The 26,283-nt window shown below is 55.8% G+C and overlaps 1 long non-coding RNA gene across 1 annotated transcript, besides 13 other annotated features; it reads left to right on the top strand.

The window, feature by feature from the left end:
- Nucleotides 1-6,273: 6,273 nt before the first annotated feature.
- On the top strand, nucleotides 6,274-10,405 carry LOC124904606 (uncharacterized). The gene is made up of 3 exons (XR_007067071.1): nucleotides 6,274-6,305; nucleotides 6,342-8,453; nucleotides 8,848-10,405. It is a non-coding gene; the product is annotated as an uncharacterized LOC124904606 (long non-coding RNA).
- Nucleotides 6,457-6,556: an enhancer, noted in NCBI's record as "active region_13553". NCBI's record gives its function as "activates an Ori minimal core promoter by ATAC-STARR-seq in GM12878 lymphoblastoid cells {active_cell/tissue: GM12878}" and the evidence as "EXISTENCE:reporter gene assay evidence [ECO:0000049][PMID:35858748]".
- Nucleotides 6,717-6,786: an enhancer, noted in NCBI's record as "active region_13554". NCBI's record gives its function as "activates an Ori minimal core promoter by ATAC-STARR-seq in GM12878 lymphoblastoid cells {active_cell/tissue: GM12878}" and the evidence as "EXISTENCE:reporter gene assay evidence [ECO:0000049][PMID:35858748]".
- Nucleotides 7,532-8,058: an enhancer, noted in NCBI's record as "H3K27ac-H3K4me1 hESC enhancer chr19:383808-384334 (GRCh37/hg19 assembly coordinates)". NCBI's record gives its function as "activates a minimal SCP1, AML or CMV promoter by ChIP-STARR-seq in naive H9 embryonic stem cells {active_cell/tissue: H9 hESC(naive)}" and the evidence as "EXISTENCE:reporter gene assay evidence [ECO:0000049][PMID:30033119]".
- Nucleotides 7,532-8,066: a biological region, named in NCBI's record as "H3K27ac-H3K4me1 hESC enhancer GRCh37_chr19:383808-384334".
- Nucleotides 7,867-8,066: an enhancer, noted in NCBI's record as "active region_13555". NCBI's record gives its function as "activates an Ori minimal core promoter by ATAC-STARR-seq in GM12878 lymphoblastoid cells {active_cell/tissue: GM12878}" and the evidence as "EXISTENCE:reporter gene assay evidence [ECO:0000049][PMID:35858748]".
- Nucleotides 8,059-8,585: an enhancer, noted in NCBI's record as "H3K27ac-H3K4me1 hESC enhancer chr19:384335-384861 (GRCh37/hg19 assembly coordinates)". NCBI's record gives its function as "activates a minimal SCP1, AML or CMV promoter by ChIP-STARR-seq in primed H9 embryonic stem cells {active_cell/tissue: H9 hESC(primed)}" and the evidence as "EXISTENCE:reporter gene assay evidence [ECO:0000049][PMID:30033119]".
- Nucleotides 8,147-8,266: an enhancer, noted in NCBI's record as "active region_13556". NCBI's record gives its function as "activates an Ori minimal core promoter by ATAC-STARR-seq in GM12878 lymphoblastoid cells {active_cell/tissue: GM12878}" and the evidence as "EXISTENCE:reporter gene assay evidence [ECO:0000049][PMID:35858748]".
- Nucleotides 10,345-10,910: an enhancer, noted in NCBI's record as "NANOG-H3K27ac hESC enhancer chr19:386621-387186 (GRCh37/hg19 assembly coordinates)". NCBI's record gives its function as "activates a minimal SCP1, AML or CMV promoter by ChIP-STARR-seq in naive H9 embryonic stem cells {active_cell/tissue: H9 hESC(naive)}" and the evidence as "EXISTENCE:reporter gene assay evidence [ECO:0000049][PMID:30033119]".
- Nucleotides 10,911-11,475: an enhancer, noted in NCBI's record as "NANOG-H3K27ac-H3K4me1 hESC enhancer chr19:387187-387751 (GRCh37/hg19 assembly coordinates)". NCBI's record gives its function as "activates a minimal SCP1, AML or CMV promoter by ChIP-STARR-seq in primed H9 embryonic stem cells {active_cell/tissue: H9 hESC(primed)}" and the evidence as "EXISTENCE:reporter gene assay evidence [ECO:0000049][PMID:30033119]".
- Nucleotides 11,476-12,040: an enhancer, noted in NCBI's record as "OCT4-H3K27ac-H3K4me1 hESC enhancer chr19:387752-388316 (GRCh37/hg19 assembly coordinates)". NCBI's record gives its function as "activates a minimal SCP1, AML or CMV promoter by ChIP-STARR-seq in naive H9 embryonic stem cells {active_cell/tissue: H9 hESC(naive)}" and the evidence as "EXISTENCE:reporter gene assay evidence [ECO:0000049][PMID:30033119]".
- Nucleotides 12,606-13,171: an enhancer, noted in NCBI's record as "H3K4me1 hESC enhancer chr19:388882-389447 (GRCh37/hg19 assembly coordinates)". NCBI's record gives its function as "activates a minimal SCP1, AML or CMV promoter by ChIP-STARR-seq in naive H9 embryonic stem cells {active_cell/tissue: H9 hESC(naive)}" and the evidence as "EXISTENCE:reporter gene assay evidence [ECO:0000049][PMID:30033119]".
- Nucleotides 13,172-13,736: an enhancer, noted in NCBI's record as "H3K4me1 hESC enhancer chr19:389448-390012 (GRCh37/hg19 assembly coordinates)". NCBI's record gives its function as "activates a minimal SCP1, AML or CMV promoter by ChIP-STARR-seq in naive H9 embryonic stem cells {active_cell/tissue: H9 hESC(naive)}" and the evidence as "EXISTENCE:reporter gene assay evidence [ECO:0000049][PMID:30033119]".
- Nucleotides 21,710-22,909: an enhancer, noted in NCBI's record as "CDK7 strongly-dependent group 2 enhancer chr19:397986-399185 (GRCh37/hg19 assembly coordinates)". NCBI's record gives its function as "activates an origin of replication core promoter dependent on BRD2, BRD4, P300/CBP, MED14 and CDK7 cofactors, with strong dependence on CDK7, by STARR-seq in HCT116 cells {active_cell/tissue: HCT116}" and the evidence as "EXISTENCE:reporter gene assay evidence [ECO:0000049][PMID:35650434]".

Below are 26,283 nucleotides of genomic sequence, written 5' to 3' on the forward strand. Positions count from 1 at the left end.
TGTCCCTGTGGGGCCCGTCGGTAATGTCCAGAGCCCAGGCAGCCTTCTTGTGACCATGAGGCCTGCCATCTGAGGGCAGATGAACTGAAAGGTGGGCCTTTGATGTGGCTGTCGAGCCTCTGAACTTAGCAGCCTTGGAATCCACTCTGTGTCCAGGCTTCTTGTTACTTGAAACAGTAAGTTTCCTTAGTACTAAGTCGTTTTGGCTTGGTTTCCAATTCCTAGCAGCTAAAACTGCACCCTAGGTGATACAGACGCTTCCAGCCCCAACCTCTCATGAGAAATAACTTCAAAATAGGCTGTTCCAACCCTCACAACAAAATAATGGTTATAACTGGAGTATTCCCCAGGCTGCTGCCTTCAGGAATTCCTCGTACGTCGCCAAAGGAGCTGAATTTCCAGCCTCTCCCCCTCTGTGCCCCACCCAGCCTCTCCCCCTGTGTGCCCCACCCAGCCTCTCCCCCTCTGTGCCCCACCCAGCCTCTCCCCCTCTGTGCCCCCACCCAGCCTCTCCCCCTCCGTGCCCCACCCAGCCTCTCCCCCTCCGTGCCCCACCCAGCCTCTCCCCCCCCGTGCCTCCACCCAGCCTCTCCCCCTCTGTGCCCCCACCCAGCCTCTCCCCCTCTGTGCCCCACCCAGCCTCTCCCCCTCTGTGCCCCACCCAGCCTCTCCCCCGTGTGCCCCACCCAGCCTCTCCCCCCTGTGCCCCACCCAGCCTCTCCCCCTCTGTGCCCCCACCCAGCCTCTCCCCCTCTGTGCCCCACCCAGCCTCTCCCCCTCTGTGCCCCACCCAGCCTCTCCCCCCTGTGCCCCACCCAGCCTCTCCCCCCTGTGCCCCACCCAGCCTCTCCCCCTCTGTGCCCCCACCCAGCCTCTCCCCCTCTGTGCCCCACCCAGCCTCTCCCCCTCTGTGCCCCACCCAGCCTCTCCCCCCTGTGCCCCACCCAGCCTCTCCCCCTCTGTGCCCCACCCAGCCTCTCCCCCTCTGTGCCCCACCCAGCCTCTCCCCCCCCTGTGCCCCACCCAGCCTCTCCCCCTCTGTGCCCCCACCCAGCCTCTCCCCCCTGTGCCCCACCCAGCCTCTCCCCCTCTGTGCCCCACCCAGCCTCTCCCCCTCTGTGCCCCACCCAGCCTCTCCCCCCTGTGCCCCACCCAGCCTCTCCCCCTCTGTGCCCCACCCAGCCTCTCCCCCTCTGTGCCCCCACCCAGCCTCTCCCCCTCTGTGCCCCCACCCAGCCTCTCCCCCTCTGTGCCCCACCCAGCCTCTCCCCCTCTGTGCCCCACCCAGCCTCTCCCCCTCTGTGCCCCACCCAGCCTCTCCCCCTCTGTGCCCCACCCAGCCTCTCCCCCTCTGTGCTGTGTGCCCCCACCCAGCCTTTCACCCTTCTGTGCTTGGTGGTTTTCTACTCATCATTGAAGACTCAAGCCTGTCGGTCCCCCACGCAGGGAGAGTCCCTGACCATCCCTCCCCTTTCTGGGCTCCCAGGCCTAGGACCCCCACCCCTACCCCCACCCAGTGCTAGCCCACCCCGAGGACTGCTCTGTCCCTCACCCCTGCCACCAGCGTGGGGCCGGCCCTCCGGGCATGGTGACCACTCGGCACGCAAGAGACCCAGTTCATCGACACACACAAAGCCCTCTCCAGCTCCCATCCCATCTCCCTGATGCTCTGCTCCCAGACGCAGCCTCACCACCACCTCTGTCAGGAAAGGGGTCTCTCGGAGGACTCCAGGCAGAAGGGCCCCGGGGAGGATCCGGTCCCATCAAGGAGGCCATGGGAAAATCCCCTTTCTTGGCCGGAAGTCTCGTAAACCCTTACCTTGCACTCAATGATTTACTTTTCTCTCTTAAGTTAAACTGGATCAAGATCTGCGGGTGCCTTTCACAAAGAGATGAGTTAGGCATTGTTGCCGCTGGAGGGCCTGTGGCCACTGCAGTGTTTCCAGGAGACCTCGTTCAGAGCAGGGCGCCGCACCCCGAGGCTGCTCCCTAACCCTACTCCAGGGAGGCGCGGTTGGGGGTCTGGCAGCCTCCGGCTCTCAGCACCCAGGCAGCACCCAGGCTGCAGCGCGTTTAGCCCTCATGGCAGCCCGTTGTGGAGAGGAGAGGCAGATGAGCGCTCCAGGGTCATGGGGAAGCTCCCAGGGCCACGCGGCTGGTGGAGCTGCACCCGGCACCTTCTCGGGGGAGTCAGGGCTGGATGTCTCTACGGCAGGAGCCGGAGGAGCTCAGGAGCGCGCGGGGACAGCAGAACTCTGCCCGCACTCGGGGGAGAGTTGGAGGGTCCACGTCTGCTCCAACATCCTGTGGAAAAGCAAGACGTTCACAGCCAAGGAAGTGCATGATTTCTGAATGTTGTGTGATGTTGCTTTGAGCAGAAAATAGAGGGGGACGGGGACCGGGCTGTGGGATGTGTGGGGTTCTGACTGCCCGGACCTGGGGCGTCCGCCTGGCAGAAAATAAACCAGGTCCCTACTGTGTTCCTCTCTGCTGTGGCCGCCTTAACACATATCACAAGCAGAGGCTCCAGCAACACTGAGCGATTACCTGGCCGCCCTGGGCTCAGAAGCCCAACATGGATCTCACTGGACTCAAGCCACGGTGTGGGCAGGGCTGGTTCCTGCAGCCTTCAGAGGAAGGCCCGTCTCCTGCTCATTTGGTGGCCACAGAATTCAGTGCCTTGTGGTCGTAGGACTGAGATCTGCGTTCTTGCTGTGTGTGTCAGCCGGGGGCCCTTCCCAGCGTTGCTGTGTGTGTCAGCTGGGGGCCCCCCAGCACCCAGAGGCCACCGCTCTTCTCAGTCCTGGCCCCTCGCTCCATTTTCAAAGCCAGCAACGGCCAGTCAAGCCCCCTCACATGGATGCTCCACTGGCACTCATCTCTGAGCAGGGCTGGGAAACCCGTTTGGTTATTACGGAAACAGGTGATTGAAGGTCAGCCTGGATAAGCCAGGTGCTCTGACCCTCCACGTCTGCAACCCCAGTCCCACCTGCGAAGTCCATTTTGCCACATAAAATAACATGCTCCCAGTGTCAAACTCAAACGAGCACATAGAGAGGCATTTTTACGTAAGACATTTTGTTTGGGAAAATACATAAAAACAGAATTGAGACCTGGCGCGGTGGCTCATGCCTGTCATCCCAGCACTTTGGGAGGCTGAGGCGAGCGGATCATGACGTCAGGAGATCGAGACCATCCTGGCTAACACGGTGAAACCCCGTCTCTACTAAAAATACAAAAATTAGCCGGGCGTGGTGGCGGGCGCCTGTAGTCCCAGCTACTCGGGAGGCTGAGGCAGGAGAATGGTGTGAATCTGGGAGGTGGAGGTTGCAGTGAGCCGAGATCACGCCACTCTGCACCCCAGCCTGGGCGACAGGGCGAGACTCCGTCTCAAAACAAAAAACAAACAAAAAAAAACCAAAAAAAACAGAATTGCAATTTCGGGCCTGTACACAGACCGGGAGGTCTTCGGTATATCTGCAGCAGGTTGGGGCTTTTACTAGAAGGAACAATGTTGCGAATCATTTCGAAAGAAAGCTCGCAAGAACTGGAAGCTTTGGGAGCTGGTGAGCTGTGACTGGGAGGGAGGTGGGGGCAGAAGGGACCTGGTGAGCTGTGACTGGGAGGGAGGTGGCGGCAGAAGGCGTCTTCATTTAGCTGAGGTCACCTCCACAGCTCCCAGGTCAAATTGGCTTTAGGGTCACGGCAGGCGGTTTCGGGCGCTGGCCTGTGACGCCGTCCTGGGCAGGCGCGTGCATCTGAATGCTTTTTACCTGGTCTCTCGACTGTTGCGTTGGGTAACTCCCATCCATATCACCAGTTTCACACCAGGTTCCAGGGACGAGGATGTGGACACCGTTGGGGATCACTATTCCTTCTGTGACACCTACCTCATACCACACACAACAGCCCTCAGTGGATACGTGAAAGCTGAAACACAACTTCAAAACTTACAGAAAAAAATGAATGTGACCATGCTTTTGCGCTCCATGTAGGGAGTAATTTTTTTAACAAGACATGTAGAGTGCTAATCATACACGACCAATAAGTCGGCCATATTAAACTGAAGCCTCATGTTCAGGACTCCTCAAAAAAGTGGAAACAGAAGCCACGAATGGGAATGCAGCATCTGTCACATCTATAATTGATTAGTACCCACCATGAATAAATAGCTCCTATAAATGAATAAGAAAATAGATGAGTGCTGGCTGGGTGCGGTGACTCACGCCTGTAATCCCAGCACTTTGGGAGGCCAAGGCAGGCGGATCACAACGCCAAGAGATAGAGACCATCCTGGCCAGCATGGTGAACCCCGTCTCTACTAAAAATACAAAAACTTAGCTGGGCGTGGTGGCGGGCGTCTGTAATCTCAGCTACTTAGGAGGCTGAGGCAGGAGAATGACTTGAACCCAGGAGGCGGAGTTTGCAGTGAGCCAAGATCCTGCCACTGCACTGCGGCCTGGGTTACAGAGTGAGACTCCTCTCAAAAAAAAAAAAAAAGAGCAGAACCCTGGTGATGAGCAGATGTAGGACGTGGGGCAGAACCGTGGTGATTGATGAGCAGATGTAGGAGGTGGAGCAGAACCGTGGTGATTGATAAGCAGATGTAGGAGGTGGAGCAGAACCGTGGTGATGAGCAGATGTAGGGGGTGGGGCAGAACCGTGGTGATGAGCAGATGTAGGAGGTGGAGCAGAATCGTGGTGATTGATAAGCAGATGTAGGAGGTGGAGCAGAACCGTGGTGATGAGCAGATGTAGGAGGTGGAGCAGAATCGTGGTGATTGATAAGCAGATGTAGGAGGTGGAGCAGAACCGTGGTGATGAGCAGATGTAGGAGGTGGAGCAGAACCGTGGTGATTGATAAGCAGATGTAGGAGGTGGAGCAGAACCGTGGTGATGAGCAGATGTAGGAGGTGGAGCAGAACCGTGGTGATTGATGAGCAGATGTAGGAGGTGGAGCAGAACCGTGGTGATTGATGAGCAGATGTAGGAGGTGGAGCAGAACCGTGGTGATTGATGAGCAGATGTAGGAGGTGGGGCAGAACCGTGGTGATGAGCAGATGTAGGAGGTGGAGCAGAACCGTGGTGATTGATGAGCAGATGTAGGAGGTGGAGCAGAACCGTGGTGATTGATGAGCAGATGTAGGAGGTGGAGCAGAACCATGGTGATTGATGAGCAGATGTAGGAGGTGGAGCAGAACCGTGGTGATGAGCAGATGTAGGAGGTGGAGCAGAACCGTGGTGATGAGCAGATGTAGGAGGTGGGGCAGAACCGTGGTGATGAGCTGATGTAGGATGTGGAGCAGAACCGTGGTGATGAGCAGATGTAGGAGGTGGAGCAGAACCGTGGTGATTGATGAGCAGATGTAGGAGGTGGAGCAGAACCGTGGTGATTGATGAGCAGATGTAGGAGGTGGAGCAGAACCGTGGTGATTGATAAGCAGATGTAGGAGGTGGAGCAGAACCGTGGTGATGAGCAGATGTAGGGGGTGGGGCAGAACCGTGGTGATGAGCAGATGTAGGAGGTGGAGCAGAATCGTGGTGATTGATAAGCAGATGTAAGAGGTGGAGCAGAACCGTGGTGATGAGCAGATGTAGGAGGTGGAGCAGAATCGTGGTGATTGATAAGCAGATGTAGGAGGTGGAGCAGAACCGTGGTGATGAGCAGATGTAGGAGGTGGGGCAGAACCGTGGTGATGAGCAGATGTAGGAGGTGGAGCAGAACCGTGGTGATGAGCAGATGTAGGAGGTGGGGCAGAACCGTGGTGATGAGCTGATGTAGGAGGTGGAGCAGAACCGTGGTGATTGATGAGCAGATGTAGGTGGTGGGGCAGAACCGTGGTGATGAGCAGATGTAGGACGTGGGGCAGAACTGTGGTGATTGATGAGCAGATGTAGGAGGTGGAGCAGAACCGTGGTGATGAGCAGATGTAGGGGGTGGGGCAGAACCGTGGTGATGAGCAGATGTAGGGGGTGGAGCAGAACCGTGGTGATGAGCAGATGTAGGAGGTGGAGCAGAACCGTGGTGATGAGCAGATGTAGGAGGTGGAGCAGAATCGTGGTGATGAGCAGATGTAGGAGGTGGAGCAGAACCGTGGTGATTGATGAGCAGATGTAGGAGGTGGAGCAGAACCGTGGTGATGAGCAGATGTAGGAGGTGGAGCAGAACCGTGGTGATGAGCAGATGTAGGAGGTGGAGCAGAACCGTGGTGATGAGCAGATGTAGGAGGTGGAGCAGAATCGTGGTGATGAGCAGATGTAGGAGGTGGAGCAGAACCGTGGTGATTGATGAGCAGATGTAGGAGGTGGAGCAGAACCGTGGTGATGAGCAGATGTAGGAGGTGGAGCAGAACCGTGGTGATGAGCAGATGTAGGAGGTGGGGCAGAACCGTGGTGATGAGCTGATGTAGGAGGTGGAGCAGAACCGTGGTGATTCATAAGCAGATGTATTAGGTGTTGCTGTTGCTGGGGCTGTGGCAGGAAGTGGTTGATCACATTCCTATTCTCCAGTTGGGTAATGAGCTCATGGTTGAATCGTGAATGGGTAAATGAATGGGTGGATGGAAATAATTATGGTTCACCTAATTTTATGCCCCTAAGGTCCTTGCAAAAGAAAACGGAGGGAGGAGAGAGAGGAGAAAGGGGAAGAAGTCGCATTCAAATTCACTCTCGCCAGTCTCTAAAATGGCAGATTCGTTTTGAAACAACTCCAGATTAAGCCTACAGAGGGAAGGCATGGCTGATTCTGCTGAGCACCTATTACAGCTTCAGCAGCATACCTCGTTTCGGTCCACAACAGCTGTGTAAGATTGTGACGGAGCTGGAAAGTTCCTGTTGCCTAGTGAGGTCATGTCCTAGCGCAGAACGCAGAATCACGAAGAGTGACGAATGCCCGCCGTCAACTGCTGGCCGGGCTGCGTGTCATGCAGCAACGCACAACGGAAGCACACCCTTCTCCTGTTCCCAGTGGTCAGAGCCACCCAAGTCGGGGGTGTGGGCCCCCAGCACTTCTACTTCAGGATGGAGACCCCCTGCTGCCTGGCTCCCTCCCCAGGCCCGCCAGGCTAGTCCCCTCCCCTGTCCCTCTCTCAGGCCTGCTCTCATAGCCACGCGGGCCTTTCTGCTGCACACGCCAGCTCAGTTCGGGGCTCAGTAACCCCCTCCCAATTCAGGGGCATGACTCCTTCCAGATTCTCCTTAAATATCACCTCCTCCAAAAAGCCTTCCCCAATCACCTCGTCTAAAGTAGGGCCCCCTCATTTTTCTACCTAAATCTATGGGGAGTTTGTTTGCTTAGTTGCATGTATCATGATCTTGCTTTGTGTTGACTTTTTACATATTTATTGTCTTTTTATCTCATTAGCATATGTGCTCCAATAGGGTGGAGACTGTGATTTATCTTGTTCATGCCTGGACTTCCAGCAGCATTCAGAACAGAACTTCTTTCTTTCTTTCTTTCTTTTGAGATGGAGTTTCGCTCGTGTTGCCCAGGCTGGAGTGCAGTGGTGCGACCTCGGCTCGCCGCAACCTCCGCCTCTTGGGTTCAAGCATTTCTCCTACTTCAGCCTCCGGAGTAGCTGGGATTACAGGCGCGCGCCACCACGCCTGGCTAATTGTATTTTTAGTAGAGTTGGGGTTTCTCCGTGTTGGTCAGGCTGGTCTCGAACTCCCGTCCTCAAGTGATCCGCCCGCCTCGGCCTCCCAAAGTGCAGAAGAGAATTCCAGGAAGCCTCGAGAGTGAGTGACGGCCCGCGGCCCCCGGCGAGGAGGCAGCAATACCACAGGCGACCACCAGCTGCCGCCGCAGTCAAGGGCAGTTGGTCTCCCCTCGCCAGGATTAACCCTGGACCGAGGGCTCCCGAACCGAATCGTCCCCACAGCCTGTCCTGCGAGGGCGGCTTTCCCCATTACCACCCTCGTTTCACCAAGGAGAAAACGAGCTCAGAGAGGCAGTGCATTGGCCCGGGATTGCACCGGGCGCGAACCCACGTCAGCTCCCGCAGAACCTAGATCATTCGCTGCCACCTCCCTCCGGGCCTGCTCTCGCAGTGTTGGGTGGGAACAGAACAGCCTTGGTCGTGGCTGAGGAGAAATCCCACAGATGTCACTGGACGAGGGTGACGGGTGGGGCCGGGCTTTCCCCTGGGTACAGGCACAACCGTGCTCTTCCCTCGCACAGTGACCCGCGGTGTCATCCACAATTCACAGCCTGTTTCCCAGAGGAGGGGCTCGGAGCGGTGCCCTCCAGGTGCCGCCAGCAACACAAGGCCCAGACTACAGAACACCAAATACTGTGATGAGAAATTACTTCCCTTTTCCTTCAGGGCCAGTCCTGGCTACCCCAAGGGGAAAGTCGCAGCTTGGTGCAAATGAAAGTTCAACTGTCCCCAGCATTGTCAATGGTTTTTACAGAGAGAGAGCAGGCCCAAGCCTGGGGCAGAGCATAGGAGCTGGTTAGTAACCTTGTTTTGTTCTCACTGCTGTTTGTTTGCATGCCTTTCTGGCTTTGTTTGTGTTGTTGTTTTGAAATAATTGCGAACTTTCAAGAAAAGTAGTATCATTTTGAAAGAAAGCTCCCTGGAACTGATGAAGTGGGAGGGAGGTGGGGGCAGAAGGCGCCTGGTGAGCTGTGACTGAGAGGGAGGTGGGGGCAGAAGGCGCCTGGTGAGCTGTGACCGGGAGGGAGGTGGGGGCAGAAGGCGCCTGGTGAGCTGTGACTGGGAGGGAGGTGGGGGCAGAAGGCGCCTGGTGAGCTGTGACTGGGAGGGAGGTGGGGGCAGAAGGTTTCTTTGTGTCACTGAGGTCACGTCGGCAAACATAGTTATCGTTATCCTCCTATTTGCCTAGGGAAAGCACCAGGATGTTTAATGCCTACAGTCCAAAATTGGTTGGTGGAAGTACCTACTGTCAGTCCCATCAGTAGATTCACTTATCACATGGTAAGCGGGATGTCACTCAGGCCACGGGTAAATTATTTACAAGACTTTTCTTATCAAAGATCATTAAAATTTAGACCTATAGGGAAACCTTGCCCCAAGGAAATTCCCAAAGGATCAAAAAATACAGAAGTTTTAGTTTGGAAAGAATGTGTGGCCAATAGTGCGGTGATATTACAAAACAATGAATTCGGAACTATTATAGATTGGGCACCTCGAGTCAATTCTACCACAGTTGCTCAGGACAAACTCGGTCGTGTCCAAGTGCACAAGTGAGTCCAGCTGTTGATAGCGACTTAACAGAAACTCTAGACAAACATAAGCATAAAAAATTACAGTCTTTCTACCCTTGGGTATGGGGAGAAAAAGGAATCTCTACCCCAAGACCAAAAATAATAAGTCCTGTTTCTGGTCCTGAACATCCAGAATTATGGAGGCTTACTGTGGCCTCACACCACATTAGAATTTGGTCTGGAAATCAAACTTTAGAAACAAGAGATTGTAAGCCATTTTATACTATCCACCTAAATTCCAGTCCAACGGTTCCTTTACAAAGTTGCGTAAAGCCCCCCCTTATATGCTAGTTGTAGGAAATATAGTTATTAAACCAGACTCTCAAACTATAACCTGTGAAAACTGCAGATTGTTTACTTGCATTGATTTGACTTTTAATTGGCAACACCGTATTCTGCTGGGGAGGGCAAGAGAGGGCGTGTGGGTCCCCGTGTCCACGGACTGACCGCAGGAGGCCTTGCCATCCGTCCGTATTTTGACTGAAGTATTAAAAGGCGTTTTAAATAGATCCAAAAGATTCATTTTTACTTTAATTGCAGTGATTATGGGATTAATTGCAGTCACAGCTACGGCTGCTGTAGCAGGAGTTGCATTGCACTCTTCTGTTCAGTCGGTAAACTTTTAATGATTGGCAAAAAAATTCTACAAGATTATGGAATTCACAATCTAGTATTGATCAAAAATTGGCAAATCAAATAATGATCTTAGACAACCTGTCATTTGGATGGGAGACAGGCTCATGAGCTTAGAACATTATTTCCAGTTACAGTGTGACTGGAATACGTCAGACTTTTGTATTACACCCCAAATTTATAATGAGTCTGAGCATCACTAGGACATAGTTAGACGCCATCTACAGGGAAGAGAAGATAATCTCACTTTAGACATTTCCAAATTGAAAGAACAAATTTTCGAAGCATCAAAAGCCCATTTAAATTTGGTGCCAGGAATGGAGGCAATCGCAGGAGTGGCTGATGGCCTCGCAAATCTTAACCCTGTCGCTTGGGTTACGACCATCGGAAGTTCTATGATTATAAATCTCATATTAATCCTTGTGTGCCTGTTTTGTCTGTTGTTAGTCTGCAGGTGTACCCAACAGCTCCGAAGAGACAGCGACCATCGAGAACGGGCCATGATGACGATGGCGGTTTTGTCGAAAAGAAAAGGGGGAAATGTGGGGAAAAGCAAGAGAGATCAGATTGTTACTGTGTCTGTGTAGAAAGAAGTAGACATGGGAGACTCCATTTTGTTCTGTACTAAGAAAAATTCTTCTGCCTTGAGATTCGGTGACCCCACCCCCAACCCCGTGCTCTCTGAAACATGTGCTGTGTCCACTCAGGGTTGAATGGATTAAGGGCGGTGCGAGACGTGCTTTGTTAAACAGATGCTTGAAGGCAGCATGCTCGTTAAGAGTCATCACCACTCCCTAACCTCAAGTACCCAGGGACACAAACACTGCGGAAGGCCGCAGGGTCCTCTGCCTAGGAAAGCCAGGTATTGTCCAAGGTTTCTCCCCATGTGACAGTCTGAAATATGGCCTCGTGGGAACGGAAAGACCTGACCGTCCCCCAGCCCGACACCCGTAAAGGGTCTGTGCTGAGGAGGATTAGTAAAAGGAAGGAATGCCTCTTGCAGTTGAGACAAGAGGAAGGCATCTGTCTCCTGCCCCTCCCTGGGCAATGGAATGTCTCGGTATAAAACCCGATTGTACGTTCCATCTACTGAGATAGGGAAAAACCGCCTTAGGGCTGGAGGTGGGACCTGCGGGCAGCAATACTGCTTTGTAAAGCATTGAGATGTTTATGTGGATGCATATCTAAAAGCACAGCACTTAATCCTTTACCTTGTCTATGATGCAAAGACCTTTGTTCACGTGTTTGTCTGCTGACCCTCTCCCCACTATTGTCTTGTGACCCTGACACATCCCCCTCTTCAAGAAACACGCACGAATGATCAATAAATACTAAGGGAACTCAGAGGCTGGCGGGATCCTCCATATGCTGAACGCTGGTTCCCCGGGTCCCCTTATTTCTTTCTCTATACTTTGTCTCTGTGTCTTTTTCTTTTCCAAGTCTCTTGTTCCACCTAACGAGAAACACCCACAGGTATGGAGGGGCAACCCACCCCTTCACAGGTCAAATTGGCTTTAAGGTCCCAGTAAGAACTCTGTGTGTCCTTCACCTGGTCACCCGCTGTGAACGACCTGCCGCCCTGTGTTATCCTCCTGTCGGTTTTTTCCTGAACATTTGAAGCTAAGTTGTAGATGTCATGCACCTCCACCCCTAAAAATTTCAGTATTTATGTATTTCTTTATTTTTGAGGCAGTGCCTTGCTCTGTCATCCAGGCTGGAGTGCAACAGTGAATCTCCACACACTGCTGCCTCAACTTCCTGAGGTCAAGCGATCCCCCCAACGCAGACTCCCGAGTAGCTGGGACCACAGGGGCTCTGAGTCTCAGCGTCGGCCGTGTGTCCTCGAGTACACATCAGGGTCTCAGCCTCGGCCACGTGTGTCTGTGAGTACACAGCAGGGTCTCAGCCTCGGCCACGTGTGTCTGTAAGTACACGGCAGGGTCTCAGCCTCGGCCGCGTGTGTCTGTGAGTACACGGCAGGGTCTCAGCCTCGGCCGCGTGTGTCTGTGAGTACACTGCAGGGTCTCAGCCTCGGCCGCGTGTGTCTGTGAGTACACGGCAGGGTCTCAGCCTCGGCCGCGTGTGTCTGTGAGTACACTGCAGGGTCTCAGCCTCGGCCGCGTGTGTCTGTGAGTACACGGCAGGGTCTCAGCCTCGGCCGCGTGTGTCTGTGAGTACACGGCAGGGTCTCAGCCTCGGCCGTGTGTCCTCGAGTACACATCAGGGTCTCAGCCTCGGCCTTGATCATCTATCCTTGTTATATAATAAGCTCACATAAATTAGTAACAGGTCAAAACCCCGGCAGGAGGATGAGTGAGAACTTGGATGAGCAAGTTACAAATGGAAGAAATACGGTGGCCAAGATCTTAGGAACACATATCCAGCCTTAAGAAATTCAAGTTAAGGGCGGGGCGCAGTGACTCAGGCCTGTAATCCCAGCACTTTGGGAGGCCGAGGCGGACGGATCACCTGAGGTCAGGAGTTCGAGACCAGCCTGGCCAACATGGTGAAACCCCGTCTCTACTAAAAATACAAAAATCAGCCGGGCGTGATGGTGCATGCCTGTAATCTCAGCTACTCGAGAGGCTGAGGGAGAAGAATCACTTGAACCCGGGAGGTGGAGGTTGCATTGAGCTGAGAGAGACAGAGAGACGTGCAGGGTTGACAAGGATGGGCTGGCGTGGGGGCAGGCCCCACACCCTCAGCCCTGCACGGGCGCAGCCCTCAGAAGGGAACTGGGCGGCAGGTACCTGCATCACAGATGCTCCGTCCTTGGGCCCAGGATCTTCACCCCCAGTCATCTGTCTTGTGGAGTGTGTCGCTATGAAGAGGTCCCTGAGGCTGGGTCGTTCATAACGAAGAGGGTTCATTTGCTCACGGTTCTGCGGGCCGTACAGGAAATGTGACACCGGCCTCTGGGCCGCTTCTGGGGAGGCCGGGGAGGTTTACCCATCAAGGAAGGTGAAGAGGGAGCTGGTGTGTCACGGGTGAGAGGGAGCAAGAGGGAAGGTGCCGCACTCCTAAATGGCTCTCAGGTGAGCAACAGGCAGGACGGGGGACGGTGCCGCACTCCTAAATGGCTCTCAGGTGAGCAACAGGCAGGACGGGGGATGGTGCCGCACTCCTAAACAGCTCTCAGGTGAGCGAGAGTTAGCAAGGGGGAAGGTGCCGCAATCGTAAACAGCTCTCAGGTGAGCAAGAACTCAACTCACGTGTCACCAAGGGCATGGGCTAAGCCCTGCAGGCGGGATCTACCCCGTGAGCCAGCACCTCCCACCAGGCCTCACACCAACTCTGGGCGTCACATTTCCGCATGAGATTTGGAGGGACACATGTGTCCAAACATGTCACAGAGCACGTAGTCAGTGACGTTCACACATGAATATTCATCCCAGATTTACTCATGGTAATGAAACCCTCAACACGACAGCAGAGTTTGGGTGTGTTCCTAAGAGCGGGTGGTTTGCAGATGTTCACCTCATCCAAAAACATCCTCACAGACCTGCCCAGAATGATGTTTGACCAAACTTCTGGGGATCCTGCGGCCCAGTCGAGTTCACACAAAAAATTCACCAACACACTCGGCATTCCGGGGAAGCTGGGGACGCGTGAGGGGCCACCAGGTGGCTGCAGAGACAGTGTCTGAGCTGTGAGGTCTATTTTCAGCCCAAAGAGTCGGCTTCTGGGGAACAGCCCAAGATGCCCTTGGAGGAGAGGCTGGGACGAGTCCCCCAGTCCCTCTGCAGCCCCAACCCCCAACCCAGCCCTTGACAAGCCCCTCCCCTCCAGACACAGGGCAATGCCCCTCTCCGTCTCTCTGTCTCTCTCTCTCTCCCCTCCCTCTTTCTCTGTCCTCCGTGTGTCTGCCTGTCCTCTGAGTCCACCACTGGCCTCTTGCACGTGCCCTGCCCGTGGCTCCTGCCCTCACGTCTCTGCTCGCTCCCGTATCCCCCATGAGCTGGTTCTGGGAGGCCGCGGTCTGGCTTGTGGGGACCCATCCATTTCTCTCCTGGGGCCTGAGCTGGGGTTGGGGTTCTAGAGCAGCGCAGGCCAAGACCCCACGGTAATGGGAGACAGAGGTGGGTAGAGCGTGGCCTCCAAGACATGATTCTGAACAATGCAGACCCATGGCTGTAACAGATGCAGCCCATGTAGCCTGAGAGTAGGGTCACTGTACAACTACAGATGCCATCAACAAAACTCCGTGTAGCAACATCCTCCCACTCAGTCCTCGAGCAGCCCTGAAGGCACAGCCACCATTGCTCCCTGTCACAGATGGGAACACCAAGACAGCCACCATTGCTCCCTGTCACAGATGGGAACACTGAGGCGAGTCCTCGAGCAGCCCTGAAGGTGCAGCCACCATTGCTCCCTGTCACAGATGGGAACGCGGAGGTGCAGGGACATCGGTGGCTCCCCAGGGCCCGGCTGTGAGCAGCTCTGATGTGGCAGCCCCTTCTCCCCAGCATTGGGGTGCGGTCAAGCCCGCGGACTGGGCAACCGGGCTCTGCTTCCTCCGCGCTTGCCAAGAGCCTCAGAAGGAGGCCGTTCCTCATCTGTGCACACGAGGGCTGGACACAGACACACAGCACACTGCGCCCACGCCATGGCCAGCCTGAGGCAGACATCAGCAGCCGAATGCTGAGGGCCACACTGTTTCCCTCTGAGCCCTGGCAAGGCCTCAGAACCCTTCTCAACCCTTAGCCAAGGCCAAGTGGTCTGAGAGGCCCAGGAGCTTCACTCTGTGGTCCTCAGGGTGCCATTAACCCGACCCCAGGGCCAGCGGCACCTCCAGGCCTGGCCCCCCGGCCCCCGCCCCGGCCCCCGCCCTGGCTGGCTCCCAGCCCACGCTGCTCCACTGCAGGCCCGGCCAGCAGCATCTGTTGCCATGGTACCTGCTGGGGTAGCAAGGCCCCCCCACCCACAGTGGGACATCACCACAGCAGCCGGTGAGATTTAAATGCAGGCAGCGGATTAGATCTGAGCGTTGTGTGGATGTGGAATTTCCCGATGTTGACAACAGCCCCAGGGTTATAAAAGAGAATCCTGGTTTTTAGAAAAGATACGCTGATATGTTTAGGAGGAAGTGGGCATTGCACCTCCAGCATAGTCTTCAATGGTTCTGAAAATGTGTATAAATATGAATATTGTACCATATGTAGATAACAGGTGGCTGTAGATACAGATAGAGGTACAGACACCGAAGATGACACAGCAAATGGGGAAAATCCAGCCCGCTGGTGACTCTGGGTAGAGTCAGGGGGAGTTCCTGCTGTATGACAAGTAATCTTGCCACTTTCCTGTAAGGTCAAAATGATATCAAAACTAAAAGATGTGAAAACAATATTCAAAGCATAGAGTCTTGGGCCAGCCCCCCACCTTACCTCCTACAGAGACCCCAACTCTGCAGGTCTAGATGAGCTCAGACTTTGATTTAATCAGCATCAAGGAGAGTATGATGGGTTGAGTTGTGTCTCCCCCCAAAACACGGTCCATCCCTGGAACCCATGAGTAGGACCTTATTTGGAAATAAGGTCTTTGCAGATGTGATGAGTTCAGATGAGGTCACCCTGGAGTCCGGAGGACCCTCAATCTGATGACCGGCGTCTCTCTAAGATGAGGAGTGGGCTCACAACACTCTCAGGGGCAACGGCCGTGCAAGGACAGAGGCAGAGACTGGACTGAGGCATCTACAGGCCGAGGGCCACCGGCCACCACCACCAGCTGGAGAAGGACACAGACGCAGTCTCCCTCTGAGCCTCTGGAAGAAGCCAGCCCTGCCGACACCTGGATGGCAAAGCTCTGGCCTCCAGAACCGGGAGGACACATCTCTGCTGTGGGAACACCCAGGCCATGTGCCTTTGCTACGGCAGCCCCAGGTGGCAGCTGCTCAGTCCGCGAGGAGGGGCAGCACTGGCCACGTCCAAAAGCTTCCGGAAGAGCGGGCAGGGTCCTGCACAGCTGTTCATTCACCCGCGAGTACGTCAAGCATACATTGGGCACCGACTGTGTGCCACGCCCGTCCCGGCAGAGGCCCTGGGGACCCAGCTGTGAACAAAATCGGCAAAATCCCTGCCCTCCTGGAGGTGGCGTCTTAGTGGGGAAGACAGGCAAGAAACACGATTGGTGAATTGCCGGGAGAACGCGGCAGGGAGGAGATGGTAGAGTCGTGGGGAAGGCAGGAAGGTAGGGAGGTCGGAGAGGCCTTCCCAGGAAGGGGACTTTGGACAAAGACAGAAGTGAAGGAGGTGAGGAAGGGACTGGGAGGTGATCAGGGGAGAGTGCACCAGGAGGAAAAGCCTGGAGGTGGGATGGGGCCAGAGCCTGCAGGGACAGCGGGGAGATACCAATACACAATGGGGTGAGTGGGGCTGGGGAGGAGGGCATCGGCGTGGTCCCCATTCCGTGGGGCCCGTGGCTCTACAGGAACAGCCGTCCCTGAGTTTGGATAGACGTCTATGCAGCCCTGTGCCAGGCAGGCACCTCCCTCTCTGCAGCAGCTCTCTCTGGGCCTGCAGGCTCCTCAGAACACGCATGCCTCGAAGGTCTTCCCTGGCCTTAGGGGTGGAGTGTGTGAGGGTCTCCACGTGAGGGACCACGTGGGCAGGCAGTGCCGGCAGCCCTGCCCCATGTGCTGGTGTAATCTGAGGTTTGCTCTCCCGTCGCCCACCCTCATTATTGTGCAATTAAACACTTGAGGCAGAGGATGACGAGGTTAAAAATAGCCCTTCCTTTCAGCCAGAGAGAGCCCGTGAGTGTGAGTGGGTGTGAGGAGGGCCTGGGGGCCGTGGAGGTGGTGTCTGCAGCTGCCTGTGAAGGTGGGAAGAGGCCCCAGGCCCCCATCCTGTTGATTTCTCAGAAAAACATCTGAGCACCTTGGCCATCACACACATTTATTCCGCTAAAACTTGAACACTTGCTGTGTGTCAAGCACGGTTCTGGGCCTGGGAAGAGGCTGGGAGGTGGTCCTGGCCCCCACAGAGTGCTGAGAAGAAAGCAAAGGAGAGTTGGGGGAGGATGGAGGCAGGGAAGGCCACTGAGGTGAAGGCCGTGAGGGTGTCTAGGAAGAGCACAGCATGAGCAAAGACTCTGAGACCAACGTGCCTGCTGTGCAGATGGAACCAAAAGCAGGCCCATGTGGCTGCAGCAGACTGAGTAAGGGAGAGAAAGGGAGGAGGTGAGAGCAAGGAGGTGGCCAGGCAGGTCATTCAGGGCCTGGTGGGAATGGGAAGGAGTTGGGTTTTTACCGTGACAGAGATGGGAGAGACGGAGGTCAGTGTACAGAGTCAGCAGGTGGCAGGCCTGGTGCTCACAGTCCAGAGACCAGGGATGAGGCAACAGAGCTGGTCTAGGGACAAACAATGGAACAGATGATAAGGAAGGATGGTGGGGGTGTGTGATGATGGGGAAGGATGACGGTGAAGGATGATAGGAAAGGATGGTGGGAAAGGATGATGGAGAAGGATGGTGGGGATAGGTGGTGATGGGGAAGGATGATGGAGAAGGATGATGGGAAGGATGATGGAGAAGGATGGTGGGAAGGATGATGGGGAAGGATGATGGGAAGGTTGATGGGAAGGATGATGGGAAGGATGATGGGAAGGATGATGGGAAGGATGATGGAGAAGGATGATGGGAAGGATGGTGGGGATAGGTGGTGATGGGGAAGGATGATGGAGAAGGATGATGGGAAGGATGATGGAGAAGGATGATGGGAAGGATGATGGAGAAGGATGATGGGAAGGATGATGGAGAAGGATGATGGGAAGGATGATGGAGAAGGATGATGGAGAAGGATGGTGGGGATAGGTGGTGATGGGGAAGGATGATGGGGAAGGATGATGGAGAAGGATGATGGGAAGGATGATGGAGAAGGATGATGGGAAGGTTCATGGGAAGGATGATGGGAAGGATGATGGGAAGGATGACGGGAAGGATGATGGGGAAGGATGATGGGGAAGGATGATGGGGAAGGATGATGGGAAGGTTCATGGGAAGGATGATGGGAAGGATGATGGGAAGGATGACGGGAAGGATGATGGGGAAGGATGATGGGGAAGGATGATGGGAAGGATGATGGGAAGGATGATGGGAAGGGTGATGGAGAAGGGTGATGGGAAGGATGATGGGGAAGGTTGATGGGAAGGATGATGGGAAGGATGATGGGGAAGGATGATGGGAAGGTGATGGAGAAGGATGATGGGAAAGGTGATGGTGAAAGATGACAGGATGGGTGATGGGAAGGATGATAATGAGAAGGATAATGAGAAGGACAATGGGGAAAGATGATGGGGAAGGATGACTGGAAAGACAATGGGAGAGATGGGGAAGGAGGATGGGAAGAATGACAGGGAAGGATGATGGGAGGATGACTGGAGAGGATTTAACAGAAGAGAGGATGGAGAAGGAAGATGGGAAGGATGATGGGGAAGGATGATGGAGAAGGATGATGGGGAAGGATGATGGGAAGGATGATGGAGAAGGATGAAGGGAAGGATGATGGAGAAGGATGATGGGGAAAGATGATGGGAAGGATGATGAGGAAAGATGATGGGAAGGATGATGGGGAAAGATGATGGGAAGGATGATGGGGAAAGATGATGGGAAGGATGATGGAGAAGGATGGGAAGGATGATGGAGAAGGATGATGGGGAAAGATGATGGGAAGGATGATGGGGAAAGATGATGGGAAGGATGATGGGGAAAGATGATGGGAAGGATGATGGAGAAGGATGGGAAGGATGATGGAGAAGGATGATGGGGAAAGATGATGGGAAGGATGATGGGGAAAGATGATGGGAAGGATGATGGGGAAGGATGATTGAGAAGGATGATGGGAAGGATGGGAAGGATGATGGAGAAGGATGACGGAGAAGGATGATGGGGAAAGATAATGGGAAGGATGATGGGGAAAGATGATGGGAAGGATGATGGGGAAGGATGATGGAGAAGGATGATGGGAGGGATGATGGAGAAGGATGATGGGAAGGATGATGGGAAGGATGATGGGGAAAGATGATGGGAAGGATGATGGGGAAAGATGATGGGAAGGATGATGGAGAAGGATGATGGGGAAGGTTGATGGGAAGGATGATGGGAAGGATAATGGGAAAGATGATGGGGAAGGATGATGGGGAAGGATGATGGGAAGGATGATGGAGAAGGATGATGGGGAAGGTTGATGGGAAGGATGATGGGAAGGATAATGGGAAAGATGATGGGGAAGGATGATGGGGAAGGATGATGGGAAGGATGATGGAGAAGGATGATGGGGAAGGTTGATGGGAAGGATGATGGGAAGGATAATGGGAAAGATGATGGGGAAGGATGATGGGGAAGGATGATGGGAAGGATGATGGGAAGGATGATGGGGAAGGATGATGGAGGATGATGGAGAAGGGTGATGGGGAAGGATGATGGGAAGAATTATGGAGAAGGACGATGGGAAGGATGATGGGAAGGATGATGGGGAAGGATGATGGGAAGGATGATGGGGAAGGTTGATGGGAAGGTTGATGGGAAGGATGATGGGAAGGATGATGGGAAGGATAATGGAGGATGATGGAGAAGGGTGATGGAGAAGGACGATGGGAAGGATGAATGGAGAAGGACGATGGGAAGGATGAATAGAGAAGGACGATGGGAAGGATGAATGGAGAAGGATGATGGGAAGGATGAATGGAGAAGGATGATGTGAAGGATGAATGGAGAAGGACGACAGGAAGGATGAATGGAGAAGGACGATGGGAAGGATGATGGGAAGGACAATGGGAAGGATGATGGGAAGGATGAATGGAGAAGTATGATGGGAAGGATGAATGGAGAAGGACGATGGGAAGGATGAATGGAGAAGGTTGATGGGAAGGACGACGGGAAGGATGAATGGAATGGGTGATTGGGCACCAAGTGAGAGCATTCGGTGACACCTTTTTTTTTTTTTTTGAGACTCCCTTTTTTTTTTTTTTTTGAGACGGAGTCTCGCTCTGTCGCCCAGTCTGGAGTGCAGTGGTGTGATCTCGGCTCACTGCAAGCTCTGCCTCCCAGGTTCATGCCATTCTCCTGCCTCAGCTTCCCACGTAGCTGGGATTACAGGCGCCCGCCACCACGCCTGGCAAATTTTTTGTAATTTTAGTAGAGAGGGGGTTTCACCGTGTTAGCCAGGATGGTCTCGATCTCCTGATCTTGTGATCTGCCTGTCTCGGCCCCCCACAGTGCTGGGATTACAGGCGTGAGCCACCGCACCTTAAGTAATATTAACCGCTTTAACACGACCAATTCAGGGTCTTTTAGTGCCTTCGCAATGTTGTGCAACTATAACTTCTATTAAGCTCCAAAACATTTTTTTAAAATAAATTGTCGGGCCGGGCATGGTGGCTCACGCCTGTAATCCCAGCACTTTGGGAGGCCGAGGCGGGCGGATCACGAGGTCAGGAGATCGAGACCATCCTGGCTAACACAGTGAAACCCCGTCTCTACTAAAAATACAAAAAAAAATTAGCCAGGCGTGGTGGCAGGCGCCTGCAGTACCAGCTACTGGGGAGGCTGAGGCAGGAGAATGGTGTGAACCCGGGAGCGGAGCTTGCAGTGAGCCAAGATCGTGCCACTGCACTCCAGCCTGGGGGACAGAGCGAGACTCCGTCTCAATAAATAAATAAATAAATAAATAAATAGTCAGTGTCTTGCTTTTTGGCCCAGGCTGGAGTACAGTGGCATATTCACAGCTCACTGCAGCCTCCAATTCCTGGGCTCAAGGGATCCTCCTGCCTCAGCCTCTCACGTTGCTAGGATTGTAGGTACAAGCCACCATGTGTAGCTCCCCAAACCATTCTTCTTATCTCAGAAAGAAATCCTCTGGATTTAGCTATATTTGACATTTCATGTAAATATAAGCAGACAATATGCGTCCTTTTGGCCTGAGTTTTTTCACTGAGTGTCATGTTTCAAGGCCGTGCTCCATTTTTTTTGTGATTGACTACTATTCCAGCCTACGAATATGCCGCACGGTGGTTCATCTCTCTCTGCCGATGGACATTTGGGCTGTTTCTACGTTTCGAATGATGTAAACGAGCTGTGTGTCTTCTTCAATAAATGCCCATTGAAGTCTTTTGCCTATTTTTTAATGGGGTTGTTGGTCATTTTGTTGCTGAGTTGTATGCATAGTTTATGTGTTCTGGATACTTGATCCTGATGAGCTCAGTGAACATTTATAAACAAACTGACCATAGCAGCCCCCACTCCAATGAAAACGCCACCTGTGACGGCCCCCAGAGGCCCCTCGTCCCTCCTGGTCCCTGCCCCGGGGGCCCCATCCTGACTTCCATTGCTGGCAGCGGGTAGGTTCATGTCGGCTGCTCTTGAATTCCTCCTGCCTGGGCTGCCCCGCGTGATCCACTGAGTGTGGCAGAGACGTGTCGTGCTGCTGCCTTCAGCAGCTCCACCTGCTTGCTGAGAAGGTTCCCGGTGCGTTTGGAAGGCAGAGGCTCCTGGGCTTGCAGGTAGGTGAACGCGCTGACAGAGAGGACTCGGCCGGCGCACCCCCTCACCCCCGTCCACCATCCTGAACACCTAGTCCTCACACATCCTGGAAGATTTGCAGCCTCAGTCTCTTCCAAATGTGTCTTACTCCTCTCTGCTCACCCTGGTGCCAGGCATCCGCCTTTGCCCATCCAGACCCAGCACCAGTGCCCTGCCCTCCCCTTGGCTTCTGTGCTGCCCGGCCATGCCCCTTCCTTCCAGACAGTTCAGGTCATCCTAAAACGTTCATCCAAGCCCTTTGCCCACAGGATAAAGTCCACACTCCTCTTACAGTCCTGTGACCCACAGGCCTCCTTGGAATTTTGGGGCTGAGTCCTTTCTGCTCTGGGGCTTCACAACCCTTTTGTCCTCTGGCCTCCTCTTCCAGGAAGTCCTCCAAGGGCAAGCCTTGCAGGACTCAGACTAGGCACCCACCCCAATGCTTGTCGATGAGAAAGCCTCAGTCAGGAAGGAACTCGGGCAGACCAGGGATGGTGCCCCTGCTCCATGACATCTGGGAGTCTGCTCTAAGACCAGGAGGCTGGGGCCCACCTGGGCTGCCAGCTGCACCTGCCTCCCTGGGCCACCTCCTTTTCATGGCCTGGGTTTGGAAGCTACCCACTGCCACTTTGTATTGCGCGGAGCAGTCTGGAGGGGACAGGCCCAGTGGCCACTGCTCCATGGGGTGAGTCTCAGCTCTGGAGAGCGCAGGGCCGGGAACATCATGTCAGGGACACCCTGGAGCTGTGGTATCCCCGACACGAGCATAAGGCACAGCAGCACTCAGTCCACATTTGCCAAAGGAAAGGGGAACAGCCAACACGCATGACCCCTCACCGCGTGCAGACGACGCGTGACCCCTCACCGCGTGCAGACGACACGTGTGACCCTCACCGCGTGCAGACGACACGTGTGACCCTCACCGCGTGCAGACGACACGTGAGACCCTCACCGCGTGCAGACGACACGTGAGACCCCTCACCATGTGCAGTCACCTTGCTAGGCAGCTTATGTGCCTTCTCTCGTTTCATCCTCAGGTTTGGGAAAATTATCCAGAACTTGGAAAGGGGTAAAAACATCACTGCCTGCTCTTTGGATCCTGGACCCTCGGCACGGTGGGCCTCAGAGCTGATCATTCCCTGGGGTGGGGCCGTCCTGGGCACTGCTGGGTGCTGAGCAGTGTCCCTGGCCTCCGCCCACTCCACACCAGGAGCTCCCCTAGTCGTGACAACCACAGAAGCCCCAGACGTTGCCCCGTGTCCCCGAGGGGCCGAATCACCCAGAGGATCAGTTGTATTCCAGAGCCTCGACCAGCCCGGCCACCCGGGGGTCACTTTGTGGACGCTTCCCTCCACTCTTGCCAGTGTCCTGGCTCTGGGGTTGGACGCTGCTTGGGATTGACAAATGCGGATGAGTTTTGTCCCTGAGCGGCAGGTGCCTCCTTCCTCCTGCTGCGTATAAAACTCAGTCCAGTCCTGCCGTTCCTTAGTAAACACTCGGACGCACCTTTGACCTACAGTGGCCCGTGGTCTGAATGAGGTTTATGCGTGAGTGCTTTGAAAGCTCAATGTTGCCATCACCTGAAGCCTAGAGGGCAGTGTGCACTGGGCACCTCACTTACACAGGAGGAAACTGAGGCTCAGAGAGGGGGAGGGGCTGGCAGTGTGGGAGCTGCAGTCCTTGATCTGAGCTGTCCCCGTGACTTTGGGAGATGAGGAAGGAGCATTCTGTGGCTTGGCTGGGGGAGCCCAGGTGGGAGGGGAGGGTGGGGACACAGTGGCTGGTGGGCGGGGGGGTGCCTCTGAGCCGCCTGGGCCACAGGCAAAGGGGTTAGGGAGGTGAGAGGGGAGCTTGGGGGCAAGGGTCATGTGTCTCCACGGCCGGGCAGGTGCACACTCCCAGGGAGGCCACGAGGACTCTGTGGCCCGGGGATTGGAGTGAACCACGCTGAAAGGTCAGAGGGCAGTGTCCCAACAACAGTGCCCCCGTTCCAGCCCCAACGGCAGCCCAGGGGTTCCCAGGCCCACCCTCACTCTTGCAGGGGTCCCCAGGCCCACCCTCACTCTTCCAGGGTTCCCAGGCCCACCCTCACTCTTCCAGGGTTCCCAGGCCCACTCTCACTCTTCCAGGGTTCCCAGGCCCACCCTCACTCTTCCAGGGGTCCCCAGGCCCACCCTCACTCTTCCAGGGGTTCCCAGGCCCACCCTCACTCTTGCAGGGGTTCCCAGGCCCACCCTCACTCTTCCAGGGGTCCCCAGGCCCACCCTCACTCTTCCAGGGGTCCCCAGGCCCACCCTCACTCTTCCAGGGGTCCCCAGGCCCACCCTCACTCTTCCAGGGTTCCCAGGCCCACCCTCACTCTTCCAGGGTTCCCAGGCCCACCCTCACTCTTCCAGGGTTCCCAGGCCCACCCTCACTCTTCCAGGGTTCCCAGGCCCACCCTCACTCTTCCAGGGTTCCCAGGCCCACCCTCACTCTTCCAGGGTTCCCAGGCCCACCCTCACTCTTCCAGGGGTCCCCAGGCCCACCCTCACTCTTCCAGGGGTTCCCAGGCCCACCCTCACTCTTGCAGGGGTTCCCAGGCCCACCCTCACTCTTCCAGGGGTCCCCAGGCCCACCCTCACTCTTCCAGGGGTCCCCAGGCCCACCCTCACTCTTCCAGGGGTCCCCAGGCCCACCCTCACTCTTCCAGGGTTCCCAGGCCCACCCTCACTCTTCCAGGGTTCCCAGGCCCACCCTCACTCTTCCAGGGGTCCCCAGGCCCACCCTCACTCTTCCAGGGGTTCCCAGGCCCACCCTCACTCTTGCAGGGGTTCCCAGGCCCACCCTCACTCTTCCAGGGGTCCCCAGGCCCACCCTCACTCTTCCAGGGGTCCCCAGGCCCACCCTCACTCTTCCAGGGGTCCCCAGGCCCACCCTCACTCTTCCAGGGTTCCCAGGCCCACCCTCACTCTTCCAGGGTTCCCAGGCCCACCCTCACTCTTCCAGGGTTCCCAGGCCCACCCTCACTCTTGCAGGGGTTCCCAGGCCCACCCTCACTCTTGCAGGGGTTCCCAGGCCCACCCTCACTCTTCCAGGGTTCCCAGGCCCACCCTCACTCTTCCAGGGGTCCCCAGGCCCACCCTCACTCTTCCAGGGGTCCCCAGGCCCACCCTCACTCTTCCAGCGGTTCCCAGGCCCACCCTCACTCTTCCAGGGTTCCCAGGCCCACCCTCACTCTTCCAGGGTTCCCAGGCCCACCCTCACTCTTCCAGGGGTCCCCAGGCCCACCCTCACTCTTCCAGGGGTTCCCAGGCTCACCCTCACTCTTCCAGGGGTTCCCAGGCTCACCCTCACGCTTGATGATTTGCGAGGACGCACGGAACTCCCAGCAAGCTGTCCTCGTCACAGGTAGGGTTTGTCACAGTGCCGGGGTGCAGGTGCCGTGGGCTGGGGAAGAGCACATGAGGCAGCGTCCCGGAGAAGCCCCGTGGTCCTGTCCGGGGAAGCCGGGAACTGCTCACTCACAGGGCGCACGGACCACCAGGAAAGGGCACGGCAGCCTAGGCGCCCAGAGCTCTGCGAGGGATCCCTCGTGGGGGCTTGATTGACTGATTGCTTGCCACGGGGTTGCCCTCGAACTCCAAGGGTGTCTGACGCTGTGAGACCCAAGGCGCTCCCAAGTCCCACGGTTGGTCTTGCTGGTGTGACCCTCCCTACCCCAGACCAAGACGCTCCCCTCAGGCAGGGCAGAAATCACCTCCCAAAGCCAAGGCAAAGCCCAGACCTCACCCCGCACGAGAGGATTCCTCACCCCACGGGGGAAGGTGCGGGTCTCATCCGTGGCACCGCAGCAGGGCTCAGCCGGTGACCAGGACTGGGTGCCACGGGTGCTGGGTCCGTGCCCACTCCAGCCCCACCAGCAGGCAGGGAGGGTACAGGGTGCTGCAGAGGAAACCGAGTCACAGAGAACGGAGGGACTTGTCAGGATTCTGACCCATGGCTGGCAGAGCACAGCTCCCTGGGGCCCTCTCTGCCAGATGGCAGGGGCCGGCCATGCAAGCAGGTGTCCAGTCCCACCCAGGAAGGGCAGCGTGGGTCCAGCCCTGGTCCGAATTCCTGTCCTGTCAGCTGGGAGGTGTGCGCAGGCCCCTTTGCCTTCTGTGCCTCGGTGTTTCCATCTGTGGATGGCAGTAGGCAGCGTCTTGCTGAGGATTCAGCGGGTCCTCCCGCCCACCCACCCACGATGCGCTTAATCAACAGGCCCTGCCCTGCGTGTGACCCTGGAGAGAGGCTCTGGGACCACGTCACTGTACAGTAGGGTAAACTGAGGCTCAGGCGCCGGCCCGCGGGAATGGCCCGCCCTCGTGGGAGGAGCATGTGTGCGGGTCGGCGTCCGCCTCCTCCTTTTTATTGAAGTCATTTTTCTCCTCCTGTCAGCGGAACTGGCCGTGGGCAGCCCCTCCCTCCCACCCCCAGGAGCTGAGAAGAAAACAAAAGCTTAATCGAATCCGGCACTGGGGCGGTGGGTGCCGCAGAGAGAGGCCGAGGGAGCCCCCGCCTGGGTGGGTCTGAGGCCGCCTGTAATTATGGCCCTGATGTGATTATATTAATTATCGTCGCTATTTTGTGCCGGCTTCCGCCCGGCGAGCCTGTGGATTGAGCTCTACTGCACACAAGCCGCCAGGGCTCATCACAGACAGAGCCTTCGGCCTCGGGAGCCTGAGACCCAGAGAAGCCACGCACTGCCCCGGGCCACACCCCACGTGGAAGGTGGGGCTTGAAACTCACCCTGCGGCTCCCCACACACGTCAGGGTTAGAGGTTCAAGGCCCCAGAGAGGACAGGCCGCAAGGCAGGGGCCCTGGGAAGGTGTTACTCCTCCTCCTCGGATGGGAGAGACCCACTGGATCAGTGTTCTGTCACCTT

This window comes from Homo sapiens, chromosome 19 (genome assembly GCF_000001405.40).
Source record: "Homo sapiens chromosome 19, GRCh38.p14 Primary Assembly".
NCBI classification, from domain to species: Eukaryota; Metazoa; Chordata; class Mammalia; order Primates; family Hominidae; genus Homo; species Homo sapiens.